This window comes from Homo sapiens, chromosome 8 (assembly GCF_000001405.40).
Source record: "Homo sapiens chromosome 8, GRCh38.p14 Primary Assembly".
NCBI classification, from domain to species: domain Eukaryota; kingdom Metazoa; phylum Chordata; class Mammalia; order Primates; family Hominidae; genus Homo; species Homo sapiens.
In genome coordinates this window covers 106142349-106159125 of record NC_000008.11, presented here as the reverse complement: position 1 = coordinate 106159125, position 16777 = coordinate 106142349, and the positions used below count along the sequence as shown (strand labels likewise).

Genomic DNA, 16777 nt, shown 5'->3' with positions numbered 1-16777 from the left:
CAAGTCTCCTTGAATGCATGAGGCAACTAGCAGCTGAATGGACGACTGAGTACCCTCAAGTTTGGAGAGGACAGGAACACCCAAGAACAAGGAGTCTTCCTGGAAGTCAGCAGTGAACTGGCTTATGTACCATTAGCACATAGGACACTTTTCCTCCCACTGCTTATGAGAATGCTGCCACTTAGGGAGCTTTTATGTTGGCAGAGCCCTAATGAACAGATACAGAGAAACAGCCACCCATCTATAGGGACAAAAGCCAGGAAAAGGGAGATCAATTAGAGCAAATAGAACCCGTCCCTAGTGAAATGAGAGCATCTGGAAGGGAAAAAAAATGAAGAGAAAAATAAGGACACTTTTTGGATCAAAGCATTGTTTTCACAACTCTACAATTCAGTATATAAATGAAGGAGAGAAGGATTTCTGCTAAAACCTGAATTATTAGCCTGAACATCAAGTTTAAAAAAATATTCCAAAGCACAGAGGCAAGTATAGATTAAAGATATAAAATGGAAACCATAAGAGAGTTAGTGGATAGATGTGAGAGAATTAAAAAGTGAAAAATAGAGATTGCAGGAGGAGAATGGAACAGATACAAGAAAGGAAATAACTATCTTGAAGTTGTTTTTTTTTGTCTGAGCTGAAGAAAGTCCAAGTTACCAATTGAAAAGGCTTAATAAATTCCAGACAGGATGGATGGGAAAATGCACTCACCTAGGCAAATTCTGGTAAAACTCCCAAGCTTGCAAGCATCCATTCAGAGAAACAAGCAGTTTATAGAGGCACAGAAAATCAAATTCATGTTGGACATCCCATTCACAACTGAAATGAAAGCCAGTGAAATAGCAACTATAGATTACTAGGAGAAAAGAACTACCACACAAAAATCCAAACCCAGCTGTCTGTCATTTATTCATCAGGGCAGAAGATTTGGGGGACCTGCAATGTTCTTGAATGATGAGACTCAGTATCACAAAATTTAAGTTTTTCAGAAATTAATTTGTAAGTGTCATACATTTATAACTTGGTAGAGTGCCAACAACTTTATTTGTAAGTAGAGGAAATTGGATTAAATAGCTTTAAATATAAATAGTATTAAATATTAAAATATAGCCAAATATATAAATTATGGTATGACTCTTTTTAAAATCAGATATCATAATACTAAAAAACAAAGCCTTTATAACCACATCAACATAATATTGACACAGGACTAAACAAGTTATGGAAGAAAATAGAAAATGCAGAAATAGACCATATAATTGTGTACGTGAATTTATCACATGCCAAAAGTAATACTTTGATTTAGTGGGAAAAAGATGAATTATTCAATAAGCAATGCTGGGCCAACTGGCTATTCATTTTGGAATAAATAATAGGGAACACAAATTTTATGCCACATACAAAGTACAAGTAGATTAACATTAAATTCAAGAGAAAAATATTAAAACATTATCATTCTCAGTAAACTATCACAAGAACAAAAAACCAAACACTGCATATTCTCACTCATAGGTGGGAATTGAACAATGAGAACATATGGACACAGGAAGGGGAACATCACACTCTGGGGATTGTTGTGGGGTGGGGGAGGGGGGAGGGATAACATTGGGAGATATACCTAATGCTAGATGACGAGTTAGTGCGTGCAGCACACCAGCATGGCACATGTATACATATGTAACTAACCTGCACATTGTGCACATGTACCCTAAAACTTATAATAATAAAAAAAACATTAAACATCTTGTGAAAAACATTAAAAATGCATGTGAAATCAAAAAGATGCTTGCTTAACCAACACAGAGAAAGCAGAGACATATAAGAAGGAATAAACATCTTTGACTATTTGAAATGTGAAATTTTTATACAAAATATTACAATGTTGATACATAAATGTTTGATCTGGAATAAAAAACAATGTAATATATATAGCACACAGTTAATATCTATAATATACCAAAAATATTTTACAAAGTGACAAAGAAAAACAAGGCAAAGGAAAATAGGCAATCTAGTAGATAGGCAATACACAGGAAAGGATAAATCCAAATAGGCAACAAATTCATAGGAAGATTTCCAGCTTCATTAACAGTAAGGGGAATGCAAATTTAAATAACCATGATATATAGTTTCATGCTCATTACGCTGTAAATATATTTATAATTTCTGGCCAGTACATGAAGAAAATAGAATTTTATATATCACTTGTAGAAATATAAGACTTTACAGCCTTTTAAAAGAACTTGATCTGACCACATCTATAACAATATAAAATACATGTGTTCTTAAAAGTGGTATATAATCCTTGGATACTAGCTACTAGAGATAAAGCATCAGCACATAAAGTGTATATCTGTAAGGATTTTTATTTCATCATTGTGCAGAGTAGCTAAAAACTGGGAACAAAGTTAATATTCAATAATAGATAAATAATTTAATTTTTTTTGAGATGGATTCATTCTGTTGCCCAGGCTGGAGTGCAGTGGTGCAAGCATGGCTCACTGCAACCTCTGTTTCCTAGGTTCAAAATTTCTCCCACCTTAGCTTCCCAATCAACTGGGATTACGGCAGGCACCACCATGCCTGGCTAATTTTTGTATTTTTACTAGAGATGGGATTTCACCACATTGGCCAGGCTGGTCTTGAACTCCTGGCCTCATGTGATCTGCCCAGCTTGGCCTCCCAGAGTGCTGAGATTACAGGAGAAATGATTGAGTATATTAGCATTCATCTGTAGCATGGAATATCATGTGGCCATAAAAAAATGAATACTTGTCTTAGAGACTATCCTGTAGTATTATTGAATGACAACAGTGAAATACAGGAAGGTGTGTAGAAAAAGGACAAATGATGGAATATTATTCAGCCATAAAAAATAATAAAATCTTGTTATTTGCAGCAACATGTACAAACCTGAAGGAGGTTAAGTGAAATAAGCCAGGCACGGAAAGACAAATGTTCCATGTTCTCACTCATATGTGGGAGCTGAAACAACTGATTTCACAAAGGTGGTAAATAGAACGGTGATTACCAAAAGCAGGGAAAGGAGAGGGTGGGTAGAGTTGAAGAAAGGTTGGTTAATGGATATAAAAATACAGTTAGAAGGACTAAATTCTAGTGTTTGATAGCACAGTAGGGTGACAACAGTTAACTAATTTATTGTATATTTCAAAAGAACTCGAAGACAAGATTTGGACTGTCCCCAACACAAAAAAATGATAAATATTTGAAGCGATCAATACCCAATTATATTGATTTGATCATTACACACTGTATGCATGTATCAAAATATATGTACATAAATGTGTAGAACTATAATATTTTAATAAAAAATAAAATTAAAAATACATTCTAAAAGAAAAATAATTTCATACATTGTGATAAGTGTTATGAAGAACTTCAGGGAGCTAGAATGGCATATAAAATATGCTTTCCTAGAGGAAGTGACATTTAAAATAAGACACAAAGAATATATAACTATTGGCTAGGTAAAGAGGGAGGAGAATAGTGTTCCAGATAGAATGGCACATGAACAGGTTGCATGTTGGGAGAGAATTCATATTGGCACCAAGGAGGAATTATGAGAATTCTAGAATGATAGGAACTTTGTAAAGGAAGAGCAGCCCAGCTTCAGATGAGATTGGAGGGGTGGGCAAATGGGCATGTTTTTAACACGTAAAAAAGCTTGGTTTTATCCCAAGAATGATGAGCAGTCTGTAAAGGGCTTAATTACGGCAGGAAACACCATATTATTAGTGTTTTAAGAAGGTGACACTGGCTATTTGTTTAGGTGGCATTTGTATTGTAGTGGGTAACAGTGAATGTGGATTGCTTGGTTTACAGAACTGAAAGGCTTGGCCACTCAAAGGTAAGTTGGATAAGGATAGAGGTAGTGACGTTGGAAAGAAGAAAAATAATTTTATTTTATTTTTATTATTTTTAAAATTATTTTATTTCATTTCATGTTAGACAGGGTCTCTCTGTTGTCCAGGCTACAGTGCAGTGGTGCAATCATAGCTCACTGCAGCCTCGATCTCCTGGGCTCAAATGATCCTCCCATCTCAGCCTCCGAAGTAGCTGGAACTACAGGTATGCACCACTGCACTTGACTATGTTTACTTTTATTTTTTGTAGAGACAGGGTCGTCTTTTGCTGCCCAGGCTGGTCTCTCCTGGTGTCAAGCAATCCTCTCACCTTGGCCTTCCAAAAGAAAAAAGATTTCAAATATAATCCATGTTCCAGTTAAAAAGTTTTACAAGTATGTTAGGCAACAGTGTTATTAAAATTAGTAAAATTGGAAACAATCTAACTTTAGAAAATGATAAAAACAAATTTTAGAATACCCTTTTGATATACTATTTGTATTCTACAAAGATTAAAATTATGTCAGCAAAGAAAATATAATGGCAAGAAAAATAATAGTGATAAAATGTTTAAGGCAATGTTTGTACAGTGTATATTGTGATCCTAGCTATATAAAAAAAAGTATTTGTATGTATGTATGTATGTATGTATGTATACGTCAATTCAGAAAGTGATTATGATTTCCCATTATAATTTTTTGTGGTTTCCAAATTTTCTCCAGTGACTACAAATTACTCTCTTAATCAGATTTTTAAATAATAGGAGGATTAAAAGCTGCTTAATCATGGATCTTTCAGATGTTTATTCAGATGGCTGAATTAGTCAACTTTGTTTTATCTTCTTTAAAAAAATTCTTCATCTGTACTCAGATTTCAAGTTATTTTCATCGTTATTTTCTTTAAGCCTTTTAATATGTAGAATAAGTTCATTTACTAAAAACATAGGCAGATTTTAATTAACTTCAGAATTTAAGAGCCATTTCTTATTTCTAGTTTACTTCGCTGAAATTCTGGAACCCAAGTTACTGAATCCAACATACTATAAATGCCTATTTTTAGAGCGTCATAAAAAATTTCAGTTGTAAAAAGTTCAAAAGCAGTGAGAGAAACAACAATGGTGAGAGTTAGTTAAATCATAATTCTGAAATCTGCCTATGTGAAGAACAAACTTTTATTCTTAACATAGATGTGGAAACTTTAAAGTGTTGATTAGATAGAATATTCTGTCACAAATAGCAAGAAAAGTCAGTTCTATTTGGATTTTCATAGTTTAGACATGGCTGGGTTTTGACCACAGGGATGATAAACTGAGAAATGTATATTCTCATATGTGAAGTAAGAGAAATTTTACATTTGTGATATATGTTTATAATGCCATATAACACACGCATAATAATACATATTAAAGTATTATATATATTTCAAAATTTCCCAACCGTTTTCAAATTTTTAACATGCTTCTAAGATATATAAAAATAAATTCATGAAAGTTAATGAGATTTTCTTCTTACTTATAAAGGTATTAAAATATATATATGAAAGTATGAATCAGCATTTTACTTTCATTTTGATCTCATAAATATTTCATATTGTGGTTTTCCTATATTTCATTTAGAATTATATTCCCATGGATATCTCTTTCTAGTTAAAAACTATGTATTTATGATATAATACAGTAAAATAATATTCACATATTTTTATATATTTTACCTGCCTTTGGATTATCACATGGAATTAATTCTCATAGTGAATATCTAAGCTGTAAGAAACAAAAAAAAAGTTGTATTAAGTAGAGTACCTAGGAGAGTACTGTATAAGTTGTACATGTACATACACTGTCATCCTTCCATATCCATGGGGGATTGGTTTCAAGCCTACCCCACCCTAACGCCCCTTTCCACTGGGCAGATACCAAAATCCACAGATGCTCAAGTCCCTTATATGAAATGGTGTATTATTTGCATACAACCTGTGAACATCCCCTTGTATAGTTTAAATCATCTCTAGAGTACTTATAATACCTAATACAATGTCAGTGCTATGTTAAGCAGTTGTTTTACTGTACCGTTTAGGGACTAATAACAAGAAAAAAAGTTTTTACATGTTTTGCACAGATGCAAGCACCCATTTTTTATCAAATATTTTTTACTGTGATTGTTTGAAGCTATGAATACATAACCTATGCTACAGAGGGCTGACTATATGTACGCACACACACACACACACACACACACACACACTTATATGCATATATATACGTATAAATATTTCCAAGTATATTTATGTTCATAAATATTCTAAATTATAGGTATGTAAGTATTTATAATTCTTATACATTTAAACTTCTATGCATAGAACCAAATCATAAGGTATTAGCTGGGCATAGATGCCGAAAAATATTTTAAATAGCTAACCCTTTGCTTATATGCAAATACTGCAATTAAAGCAGTATTTTTCTTTCATAAATTCTCTAAGTAGTTGGCAGAATTTAACTTTTAAGCAGGTTAAATAGTTCCCTTGTTTACACTATTGGAACTTTGCAACTAAAAGATATTATCTAGGAAGGTAAATTAAAGCTCAACCTGTTTGAACTACTACATATCCCAAAATAATAGAATCAGAAAATGAGATTTTGCTGAATTACGTATTAGTTGATTATAATACAATGGTTTGATAAAGGCATATTTGATTCGGTTAATTCATTGTGTGAATATTCAGTAAATGCCAGTGGGATAAAATTACACCGAAGGGAGGAATTATGAAAGCAAACTTTCCACTTGTTTTACATAAAATTTGCAATTTCACATCTTAAACTAATCATTACAATATTTGAAATTATATTTACATTGTGTTAACTTGATGGAATATGTTGAAAAATATGATTTATAAATTTTAGTTTACTCAGATTTAAGAGGATTCTCATTCATTTTGCAATATCATATCCTACCCTTTACAACCTAAAATCCCATAGTGAATTGTATATGTTGTTGCTTCTCCTGTTGTAGCCATACATCTAGGACCACAAAACACAGCAAAACAACACAGCAACAGTAAAAACCCTGGAAATTTGTTTGGAAACTAGAACTTACACAGAAAATAGTAGAAGACTTCGATTTTTATCTAGAGAAAATATTCTCTTTAGGACCAGCTAGCAGTTTAATGACTAAAAAATTTCTAAAATTTCTGTTTTTTCTCATTTTTGCTGGTAATGGAAAACAATTTCCATTAGAGGAATATAAAGCAAAGTTGGAAGCTGGCATAGTCATAGAATATTAGCAGTTATAAAAGCAACGTGTTAGATTCACTGACTGCTACTATTATTTCTCACATGAGTGTGTTAGACTCAGTTGACTCACTTCTGTTTGTACAGCAACCATTGGTGGGGTAGGATTGAAGCCAAAATTTTCATACTTTTTCTCTTATTTACCTTCTTTTGTAAAACCAATTTGTTCCATTTTAAAAGAGGCATATTCATACAGATTAGCTGTTCATATGTCACTTACCACTAGAGGGGACATGGTGAAATGATTTTAGATGGAAAATAAATACCATGTATTTTAATAGCTAAATATATATTTTGATATGTGCAAATACAACCACACTTATGTTTTCATTGGTGTTGCCTAGGATGTCTGCTTTAACTTTGCTTTAAATAAAATGAACCATAAAAAAATTTGAACAATATAACAAAAATATTATATATGCAATAGTACAGATGATACATCTATGGTTAGCATTCGAATGACATATGTGTATATATATATATATATATATATATATAAAATATCTAGGTTTTCTCATTTTTGCTGGTAATGGAACAAAATTTCCATTGGAGGAACAAAATTTCCATTGGAGGAACAAAATTTCCATTGGAGGAACAAAATTTATAATCTTGGTTTTTGAGTGATTAAAGTTTGTGAAATGTTGTTTTATGTTAAAAATATCCTTAGAACTGTGATGACCATAAAAGTTCCCTAGCAATCTAAATGATTGCGCCAAATAACATCAAAAAATAACATTAGAACTCTGATGACCGTAAGTTCTCTGGAAATCCAAATTATTGAGCCAAAAAATAATTGAAAGACTAATACAATTATTTACTTAAATTAACGTGTGTTTTTTAATTTTTGCCAACAGCATGCCGTTTAAAAGAAAAAAAAGTTACTCTTTTTCTCTTGTGTAAATTAATTGCCTTCTTTTCATCACCTTTGGTTTATACTCTCAGAATTTCCAAGCTGGACTAATATAAAAATCTTAGAATGATTTTTATGCCTCTAGTCTTGCTCCCTTCCAACTATATTCCATGATATTGAAAGATTTTTTTAAAATAAAACAAATTTAATAACTTTAATCTCCCATTTAAAAGAACCTCTTGGAATGGCATCATTTTGCTTGCAGAACAAAGTCAGGAATATTTAGTGGGACTCCTCTCCGACAGTTTCAGCCTTTGCCTTTGCATCCCCCTTTTTTTCATCTCTCTCCCCATTGGACAACTTTCTGTTTCCTGGTGTTTTTCTGTTCTAGAACTTCATCTAAAAGTTGCTGTATTTCAAGACTCAACTTGTTCATATAATCTTTCCCTCATTTAATGAATATTTATTGAGTGCTCCTTATATCATTTACTGTGCTCGGCAAAGTGCAAACAGACATGTTTCCTTACTGAAGTTTGCAGTTCAATGCAAGAGAAACATTAGGGTAGTTTATACAATTAAAATGGCACTACGGTTTTTGAAGAGAAAAAAACAACAAATCTCTGGTGATACAACAGAGTAAGAGGAGAAACTTTTATACAAGGGACGAGGGAAAATCTGCAGAGTTGATACTTAAAATGAGAGCTGGAGACCAGCCTGGGCAACATGAAAAAAACCCATCTCTACAAAAAATTAAAAAATTATCCAAGTGCAGTGGTGCATGCCTGTAGTCCCAGCTACTCAGGAGGCTGAGGTGGGAGGATCACTTAAGCCCAAGTCTGTGAGATTGAGGCCACAGTGAACCGAGATCACATCATTGCACTCCAGCCTGGGCAACAGAGCAATACCCTGTCTCAATAAATAAAATAAATAAATAAAATAAAAAATAAAATGAGACCTGAAGCCAAAAGACTGTCTCTATTAGTTTCCTGTTACTGCTGTAACAAATTACCATAAACTTAATGGCATCACACAACACAAATTTATTATGTTACAGTTCTGGAGGTCAGAAGTCATTGTCATGGGTCTTATGGGTCTAGAATCAAGCTGTGGCAGGGCTGCATTCCTTCTGGAGAACCTAGGGAACAACCTATTCCTTATTTTTTTCAAGATTCCAGAGGCTGCCCCTATTTCTTGGCCTGTGGCTGTCTTTCATTTTCAAAGCCAGCAGTCACATCCCTCTGACCTCTGCTTCCCTATCTTCATACCTCCTCTATTATTAAAAATTCATCAGAACTTTTTTCCCTTAGGTTTAAAATAGTGGTTAAGTATGTGGACACTGGCTCCAGGCCACATAGGTTGGAATCCCAGCTTTAATACTTACTGGCTGTGATATTGAGCACATCTAAAACACAAACACAAAAATAGACAAAACAACTTTTGATGCCTAGTTTCCTCAAATGTAAAGTGGGGCTGATGATGGCACTGACCTCAAAGGAATGTGCTGAAGATTAAAAGGATTAATGATGTAAAACTCTTAGACTGCTGCAAGGAGTACTAACTGCTATTATTATTATCATTAATAAATATTTATTGAGTGATGATTATAGTTGAGGCAGGGTTCAGCTGAAATTTCAACTATATCTAATTACTGTCTAATCAATCATGATTTCATGGAGCAGAAAAAAGATTTGAGGAACCACTGATACATTCATGTATATTTCATTAGTAGACTTTAAACACTTTGAGAACTATGTCATGCAACTAGAAGTACATGGGGATGGAGTTCAGCTTTAGTATTGACACTTTTTACTTGTAAAATGAGATTCTAAATATATACCTTAAAGTAACAACTGGGCCAGGTGCAGTGGCTCACACCTGTAATCCCAGCACTTTGGGAGGCCAGGCAGGTGGATCACCTGAGGTCAGGAGTTCGAGACCAGCCTGGCCAACATGGTAAAACCCCCATCTCTACTAAAAATACAAAAATTAGCTGGGTGTGGTGGGGGGCGCCTGTAATCCCAGCTACTCATGAGGCTGAGGCAGGAGAATTGCCTGAACCCATGAGGCGGAGGTTGCAGTGAGCCGAGATCATGCCATTGTACTCCAGCCCAGGTGACAAGAGCAAAACTCCATCTCAAAAAAAAAAACAAAAAGTAACAACTGATTTTGTGGCAAAACTTTGGCATTTCCAGAGATGACTAGCTTGGCTCTATGAAGATGGTCCAATGTCATCTAGCCTTTGATAATTTGATTGAAATTAATCTCAGTAATAAAAATAGAGGTTTTGCAGGAACAAGGTTGGATTTTGGGGTTAGGAGGTGGGAGGATCATTGCCTCAGCCACAGAGAAGAAGGCTTTCATTGTGCATTATCCTTCAAAGGTTAAAACGCTCTTTCAGTTCTTGTTCTATCCCCATATAAATGCCTCCCAGCACTCTTTTAACTGGTGGTGTTATACTTTTCTTAGTTGTAGGTAAATTACATTTTACTGTGGATGTTTTCCAAGATTTGTGACTAGGCTGTGTGGTTTATTATGTGCTTTCAGTTTTCTGTCAGGTTTTATATGTTTTAATCTTCAGAATTTCAGCAGATGGTGACTCTTTCTGGAGGTTAGATGAGCAATTAAAATGCTGTCTGGTTGCTTTGTGTCAGTGCATATGCTATTCACATTTCATGCTAAATGTGAACAAACCACACAGTCTTCTTTTCCTTACTTTCCTCTTTGGGAATTTAGGAATAGAAATATTCATTCTTCCTGACTGCTGTGAGGAATGAGTCATAGGAAAGATGTGACATCTAGCTCAGCTAATACCCACCAAAGCTAGGCAAAATCATAGGTCCTCAAGCCTGCTTCTAAAAGTAGTTTTACCAGTAACTGTTCTCCATAGGGGTTCACAGCATACAGTCAAATAACATTATGAACGCAGGTTGCAAATTAACCTTCAGAACAAGAAATTAATTATGCAGAAGTACTCCTTTGGGTGCATTAAAGATGAAAGTATCTGGTATAGATATTGTCTTCTGCTTTGTTAATAGTTGATACCCATTTTCAACTTTGCTGAACGTTAGATGCTACTCATATATGGAATTCATTCTAGCCTCACTACCTAGGACTCTGTTAAAAGTCAAAAGAGGTATTAAATTGCATTGGAACAATAGAGGATTTTGATTAAATTCAGCAAACATTTATTGCACATCACATATACAATGGAAAAGTTCTATACTTAGTATGAAGGGTCAATCTGGAGAATAAACAAAATGCAATCTTTGCCCCAAAGGAATTTGCAATGAATTTATAACAGACAGAAATATATTGCCAGTGCCTAGAGGGCACTCAATAAATGTTTATTAAACAATTGTTAAATGTCATGAGAGGAGTAAAGGACTGGGATTGGAGCACAGAGTAGGGATTGATTTTGAATGTGAGTCTTAGAGAAGACTTGACAAAAAGGGCAACATTTAAGATTGACTTTGAACAAAGTAGATTTGGCTGTTGATGAAAAAGTTGCTTTGCATCATAACTGGCACATTGTGGAAAACCATTTTGTGTATTCAGTGACTATGAGTAGCTTGGTGTTGTTGGAGTTTAAGTTTTCTAGGCCACAGAGAATAGTGAGATATGGAGCTAGAAAGCAAGTTTAAGCCCAGACGATAGAGGTCTAACATGCTAAAGAGTTTGGACTTTAGATAGTGACCAACACTAACCTTTGAAAATACAGGCAGTGGTGTGCTGGTTAACGTCTTGCCTAAAAACTTGATTTGTCACATTTGACAACTTTTATACTGTAAATACTCCCACTGTGACTGACTTCAAGCTGCCAACTGGACATCACTGAACTGTGAGCTGGGAAGATATGCAACTCTTGCCAACCAGCCTGAGCTAGCTGAAGGGCACATTGACAAGATTTGGCATGCTCAAATATCTATTTTAGAATGTTTATCTTGGCTCCTGGTTAATGAATAGATTGGAGACAGGAGTTGGAGAATCGGTTGGGAGACTAAACTATAACTCAAGTGCAAGTTGAAGAAAACTAAAGCTTGGAGTGGGGATGGAAAACTGAGATGGATGAAGGAGAAAATACTTAGCAGGGAAGGGTTTTCAGGTCCGGGGCCTAAAGATGGGTTCCGGGATGTCTGTGAACTCCCTGAAACTGTATATACTTTTTTGTGTGTATTTTTTGGGGAATGAGTTTTTATTAGACTTTCAATAGATCTATTACCTTCACTCTTAAAATTTAAGAATTGTAATTTTCAGGTAGAATACACAGAATTTGCCAAGCAGCTGTATATGGTGCAAAAGGAGATTGGGTGACATGAGAGAGTACAGTTGCTGATGATTTGGAGATTTGTAACTTGAGCAATTGGAAAGATTTTATACCATTTTCTGAGACAGGGAATGAAAAATAGAGGCAAAATCAGAGGATTCAATATCTTACTAAGTAAATGTAATACTTATAAGAGTTTTAGAACAAAATAACAAGATACAGCAGAGCACAATAGGTAAAACACAAGAAAATTGGACGCTAACATGAATTTTATTACTATGTTGAATGCAGATATGGGATCTCAGTATATATTTTGTTATGAAAACATGATTTTTATTATATCTCCAGGCCATCTCAAAGACCCTATCTATGAGGAAGAAGAAAAGAAGTAGAAAGAGGAAGAGAAGAAGGAAAAAAAATAAAGAATAGGGAAGAGGAAGAAAAAGACAAAGAGACTCAAGCCCTATCCTAAGTTTGTTTTGTTTTATTTTCAAAGCAATATGTGATAGCAGGTCTCAGAGTTAGGAGGAAGTGCCGTATAATGGAAAGAACACAGGCTAAGAAGCAAAGTTTAATTTATATCTTATTTGCTTTATGACCTTCAGGAAGTAATTTAACCTCTCTAATTCTCATTTTCCTCATTTCCAAAATGAAACAACTAAAATTTACTTTTCAAAACTATTGTAAATATTGAAGATGAGGTCTATAAAGAAGCTGGTGATAATTGTTTAAACAGGCTCTTATAATCAAAACAAGGTAATTCCTTGGTACTTATTATAACAGAACCTGATTCACATAATCTCTCTCTCTCTCTCTCTCTCACACACGCACACACACACACACACACTTTAACTTTTAGCATGCATAAAAAATTAGAAGATATAGGTAAATAAAATTTGACTTCAGTAGGCTTTTGCTATTTCATGATTTCTCTCCAATCCAGTATCACTTTAACTTGTGGATATATAAAAAAACAAAAGAAAAAAAAAATCAGTGGGACTCCTGTCTGCTCTTCCACTAATTGATTTAAATGAAAACTGACTTTATTGGTTGATAATCAATATGGAGTTGAGAAGGCAGTACCCCAGGGTTTAGGATTTGAGCAATATCATTTTTGTGATTTGCCTTTGGCCTTCTTTTATGTTACTGAAACACGACTGTTTAAAATAAATCTTTGTGAATTGAAGAAGCATTTTATTTCTTATCCTGAATAAAAAAAAATATTACTGTAATAGACCCCATGGCTTTCTCCTAGACATATAAAAAAGTTTGAATTTAAGACATAAAGTGGTTCAAGTGGTTTTCTAGGGCTGCCATAACAAATTACTACAAATTTGGTTTAAAACAACAGAAATGTATTGTCCTACAGTTACGGAGACCAGAATCTAACATGAAGGTGTCTATACTCTAAAGAAGAATCTGTACCTTGACTTTTACAGCTCTGGTCACTGCAGGTATTTCTTGGTGTTCCTTGGCTTGTGACCACATTACTTCAGTCTCTACCTCTGTCTTCACTTCACTTGTATGTGTGTGTCTTGTTTGTGTGTGTGTCACCCTTTGCCTCTCTCTCCTAAGGACACTACTATGGCATTTAGGGTCCAGAATGATCCAAAATATTATCTTCATCTCAAGATTCTTAACTTAATCATATTTGTAACGAGCCTTTTTCCAAATAAGATAACATTACTATTTTGACACATAAGATTATATTCAGGGGTTTCAGGGATTAGAAGGTGACTATATATTTGGGAGGCCATTTTTTTCAGACTACCACAATGGTTGCCATGAGTTTAAACAGAAGTATTTCCTAAAATAAATTCTTTAAAAAAATTGCTGGGAGTACAACATAAATTATTTGAAAAGAGACAGAAACAAGAGACAAGATTATCTTAGAGATAAGAGATGCCTACTTTACTTTGGTCCTGCTTTAAGTCTCCATGCATTTGTGGATTTGTTATGCCATTAATAACTAGGGATTACTTTTGTCTATGTTCCACAATTTCAAATTTAGTAGGATAAAAGAATCTAGCCACACCACGAGAAGCTACAAAAAAGGTATTGGGAGTTCACACAGCTGGCCTGCAGTGAAGAGCTGAAACATGTCTAGTTCAATGAATTAATTAATATGTTATTTATGAAGGCCTACATGTGCCTTTCATTTATCACCTTCCTCACTGAGATATTTCAGCTTTGCTAGGGAAGCTGGAAATGATTAGTGCCACTGGGTATCATGTACATAGAAGATATTCAATAAACAGCTGATTCCTCCTTGAGGCTTTGACCTTTCCTTTCATAGTGAAACATCAATATTTTAAGTCTAAAAACTAGTTTTTGATTAAGAACCTTGTTACCAACCCAGAAATAAAAATTTTACTTTATTTTAAAGCCCAGGTTAAAAAAAATTCAAAAACAAGTGAAAAGTATTAGAAAAAATAAATAAAGCCAAATGCCAACACTTTGAAAGGTATAATCAAAAAGATAAACTATGGCAATCCAGATTAAGGAAATAAAGAAAGAAAGCAGGCTGGGCACGGTGGTTCACGCCTGTAATCCCAGCACTGTGGAAGGCCGAGGCAGGCAGATAACTTGAGGTCAGGAGTTCGAGACCAGCCTGGCCAACATGATGAAACCCGCTCTCCAGTAAAAATACAAAAATTTGCATGGCACGGTGGTGGGCGCCTGTAATCCCAGCTACTCAGGAGGCTGAGGCAGGAGAATGTCTTGAACCCAGGAGGTAGAGGTTGCAGTGAGCTGAGATCACACCACTGCACTCCAGCCTGGACAACAGAGCAAGACTCTGTCTCAAAAAAAGAAAAAAGAAAATTATTCTATATTAAGACTGAGGAAACATAATCACAGATATAGAAGTAATTTTAGAATTATGAGATATTATCTTATGCAACTCTGTATAACTTTAAAATAATATATGGCAAGAAATGTGAGGATCTAGAGAAAATGATTTTTTTCTACTAAAATAAATACTACAAAAGGTTGACCCAAGGAGAGGCAGATCATCTAAATAGATCAATCACTGTTAAAGAGTTTGTAAAGATCATTGAAAAGTCTCCATTTTAAGGGCTAGTTTTGTGATTAGATTTGACCTTTTTTTTTTTTTTTTTTTTTTTTTTTTTTTTTTTTTTAGAGGGAGTCTTGTTCTGTCACCCAGGCTGGAGTGCAGTGGCACGATCTCAGCTCACTGCAACTTCCATTTCCCGGGTTCAAGCGATTCCTTTGCCTCAGCCTCCCAAGTAGCTGGGATTACATGGGATTACCTGATCTGGCTAATTTTTGTATTTTTAGTACAGATGGGGTTTCGCCATGTTGGCCAGGCTGGTCTGGAACTCCTGACCTCAAGTGATCCGCCTGCCTCGGACTCCCAAAGGGCTGAGATTACAGGCATGAGCCACTGCCCTCCACCTAACTTTTAAAGAGAATACACTTCCTATGACGTTTAAATGATTTTAAAACATAGAATAAAATTGTATGACGCATAAGCTTAATACAAATATGTAGTATGTACTAACTCACTTTTTATGAGTTTGTAGTATATAGTAACTCATGTATTATGAGTTAGTATTATGTACTAACTCATGTATTATGAGTTAGTATTATGTACTAACTCATGTATTATGAGTTAGTATTATGTACTAACTCATGTATTATGAGTTAGTATTATGTACTAACTCATGTATTATGAGTTAGTATAGAAAACATCAATCAAATTCATTTATATATACGTAAAAACTCATATCCACATATTAAATTCATCAGTATGTTGAGAGTAATCCAACATGGTCAAATAGGGCTTATTCTAAGACCATAAATTTGAGATCACATTAAGAAATATATCATCATTATTAATATGATTAAATATATCCACAAATTATAGGAAGGTGGAATTGCTTATATTAGTTGATAATAAAAAGGCTTCAATAAAATTTAGTAGGTATTCCAAATAAAAACATTGACTAAAAAGTAGAATATTATCCATGATTAAATTCAGTTGGTTAGTATAGTTACATTAGTTATCCTTTCCTCGATACGTTATCTTGAATTAAAAAAAATTTAAATTATAAAAAAACACAAATAGGAAAATATTGAAATACAATAAAGACTATTTGTCAAAAGTAAGAGAAAATATTATAACCAATACTAAATAATAAAGAAATTTCCATTAAAATCAGGAATAAGAAAGGAATACCCAAATTTATGTTTTAATATTGAAGGTGATTATGTCAAGCACAGTGATAAAACAAGAAAAAGGTTTTAAATAGAAAAGGAGAGACAAAAATGTGCATTTGCAGATGATATAATTATACAGTCAGGAAATCTAAAATTACCAATAAAACTAACTAAAAAACTAGTGGCAATTCATTAATTTCACTATAAACTTAACAATGCATCTTTCTTACTAGCATCAGTGCTAGGAAGAAACAAACATGTTGAGGGGAAAATAAAGAATGTTAATATATATTTTCAAATGTAAGTGAAAACTCAATATATAGTAATGTTAGCAT

The 16777-nt window shown here is 34.0% G+C and overlaps 1 long non-coding RNA gene across 2 annotated transcripts; it reads left to right on the top strand.

Moving 5' to 3' along the window:
* The first annotated feature begins 3620 nt into the window (after positions 1-3620).
* On the top strand, positions 3621-13446 carry LOC124902003 (uncharacterized). 2 transcript variants are annotated; one of them, XR_007061048.1, is made up of 2 exons: positions 3621-3868; positions 12609-13446. It is a non-coding gene; the product is annotated as an uncharacterized LOC124902003 (long non-coding RNA). The 2 variants fall into 2 exon arrangements; XR_007061049.1 differs by lacking the exon at positions 3621-3868 and adding an exon at positions 4054-4089.
* The last annotated feature ends 3331 nt before the right edge of the window (positions 13447-16777 follow it).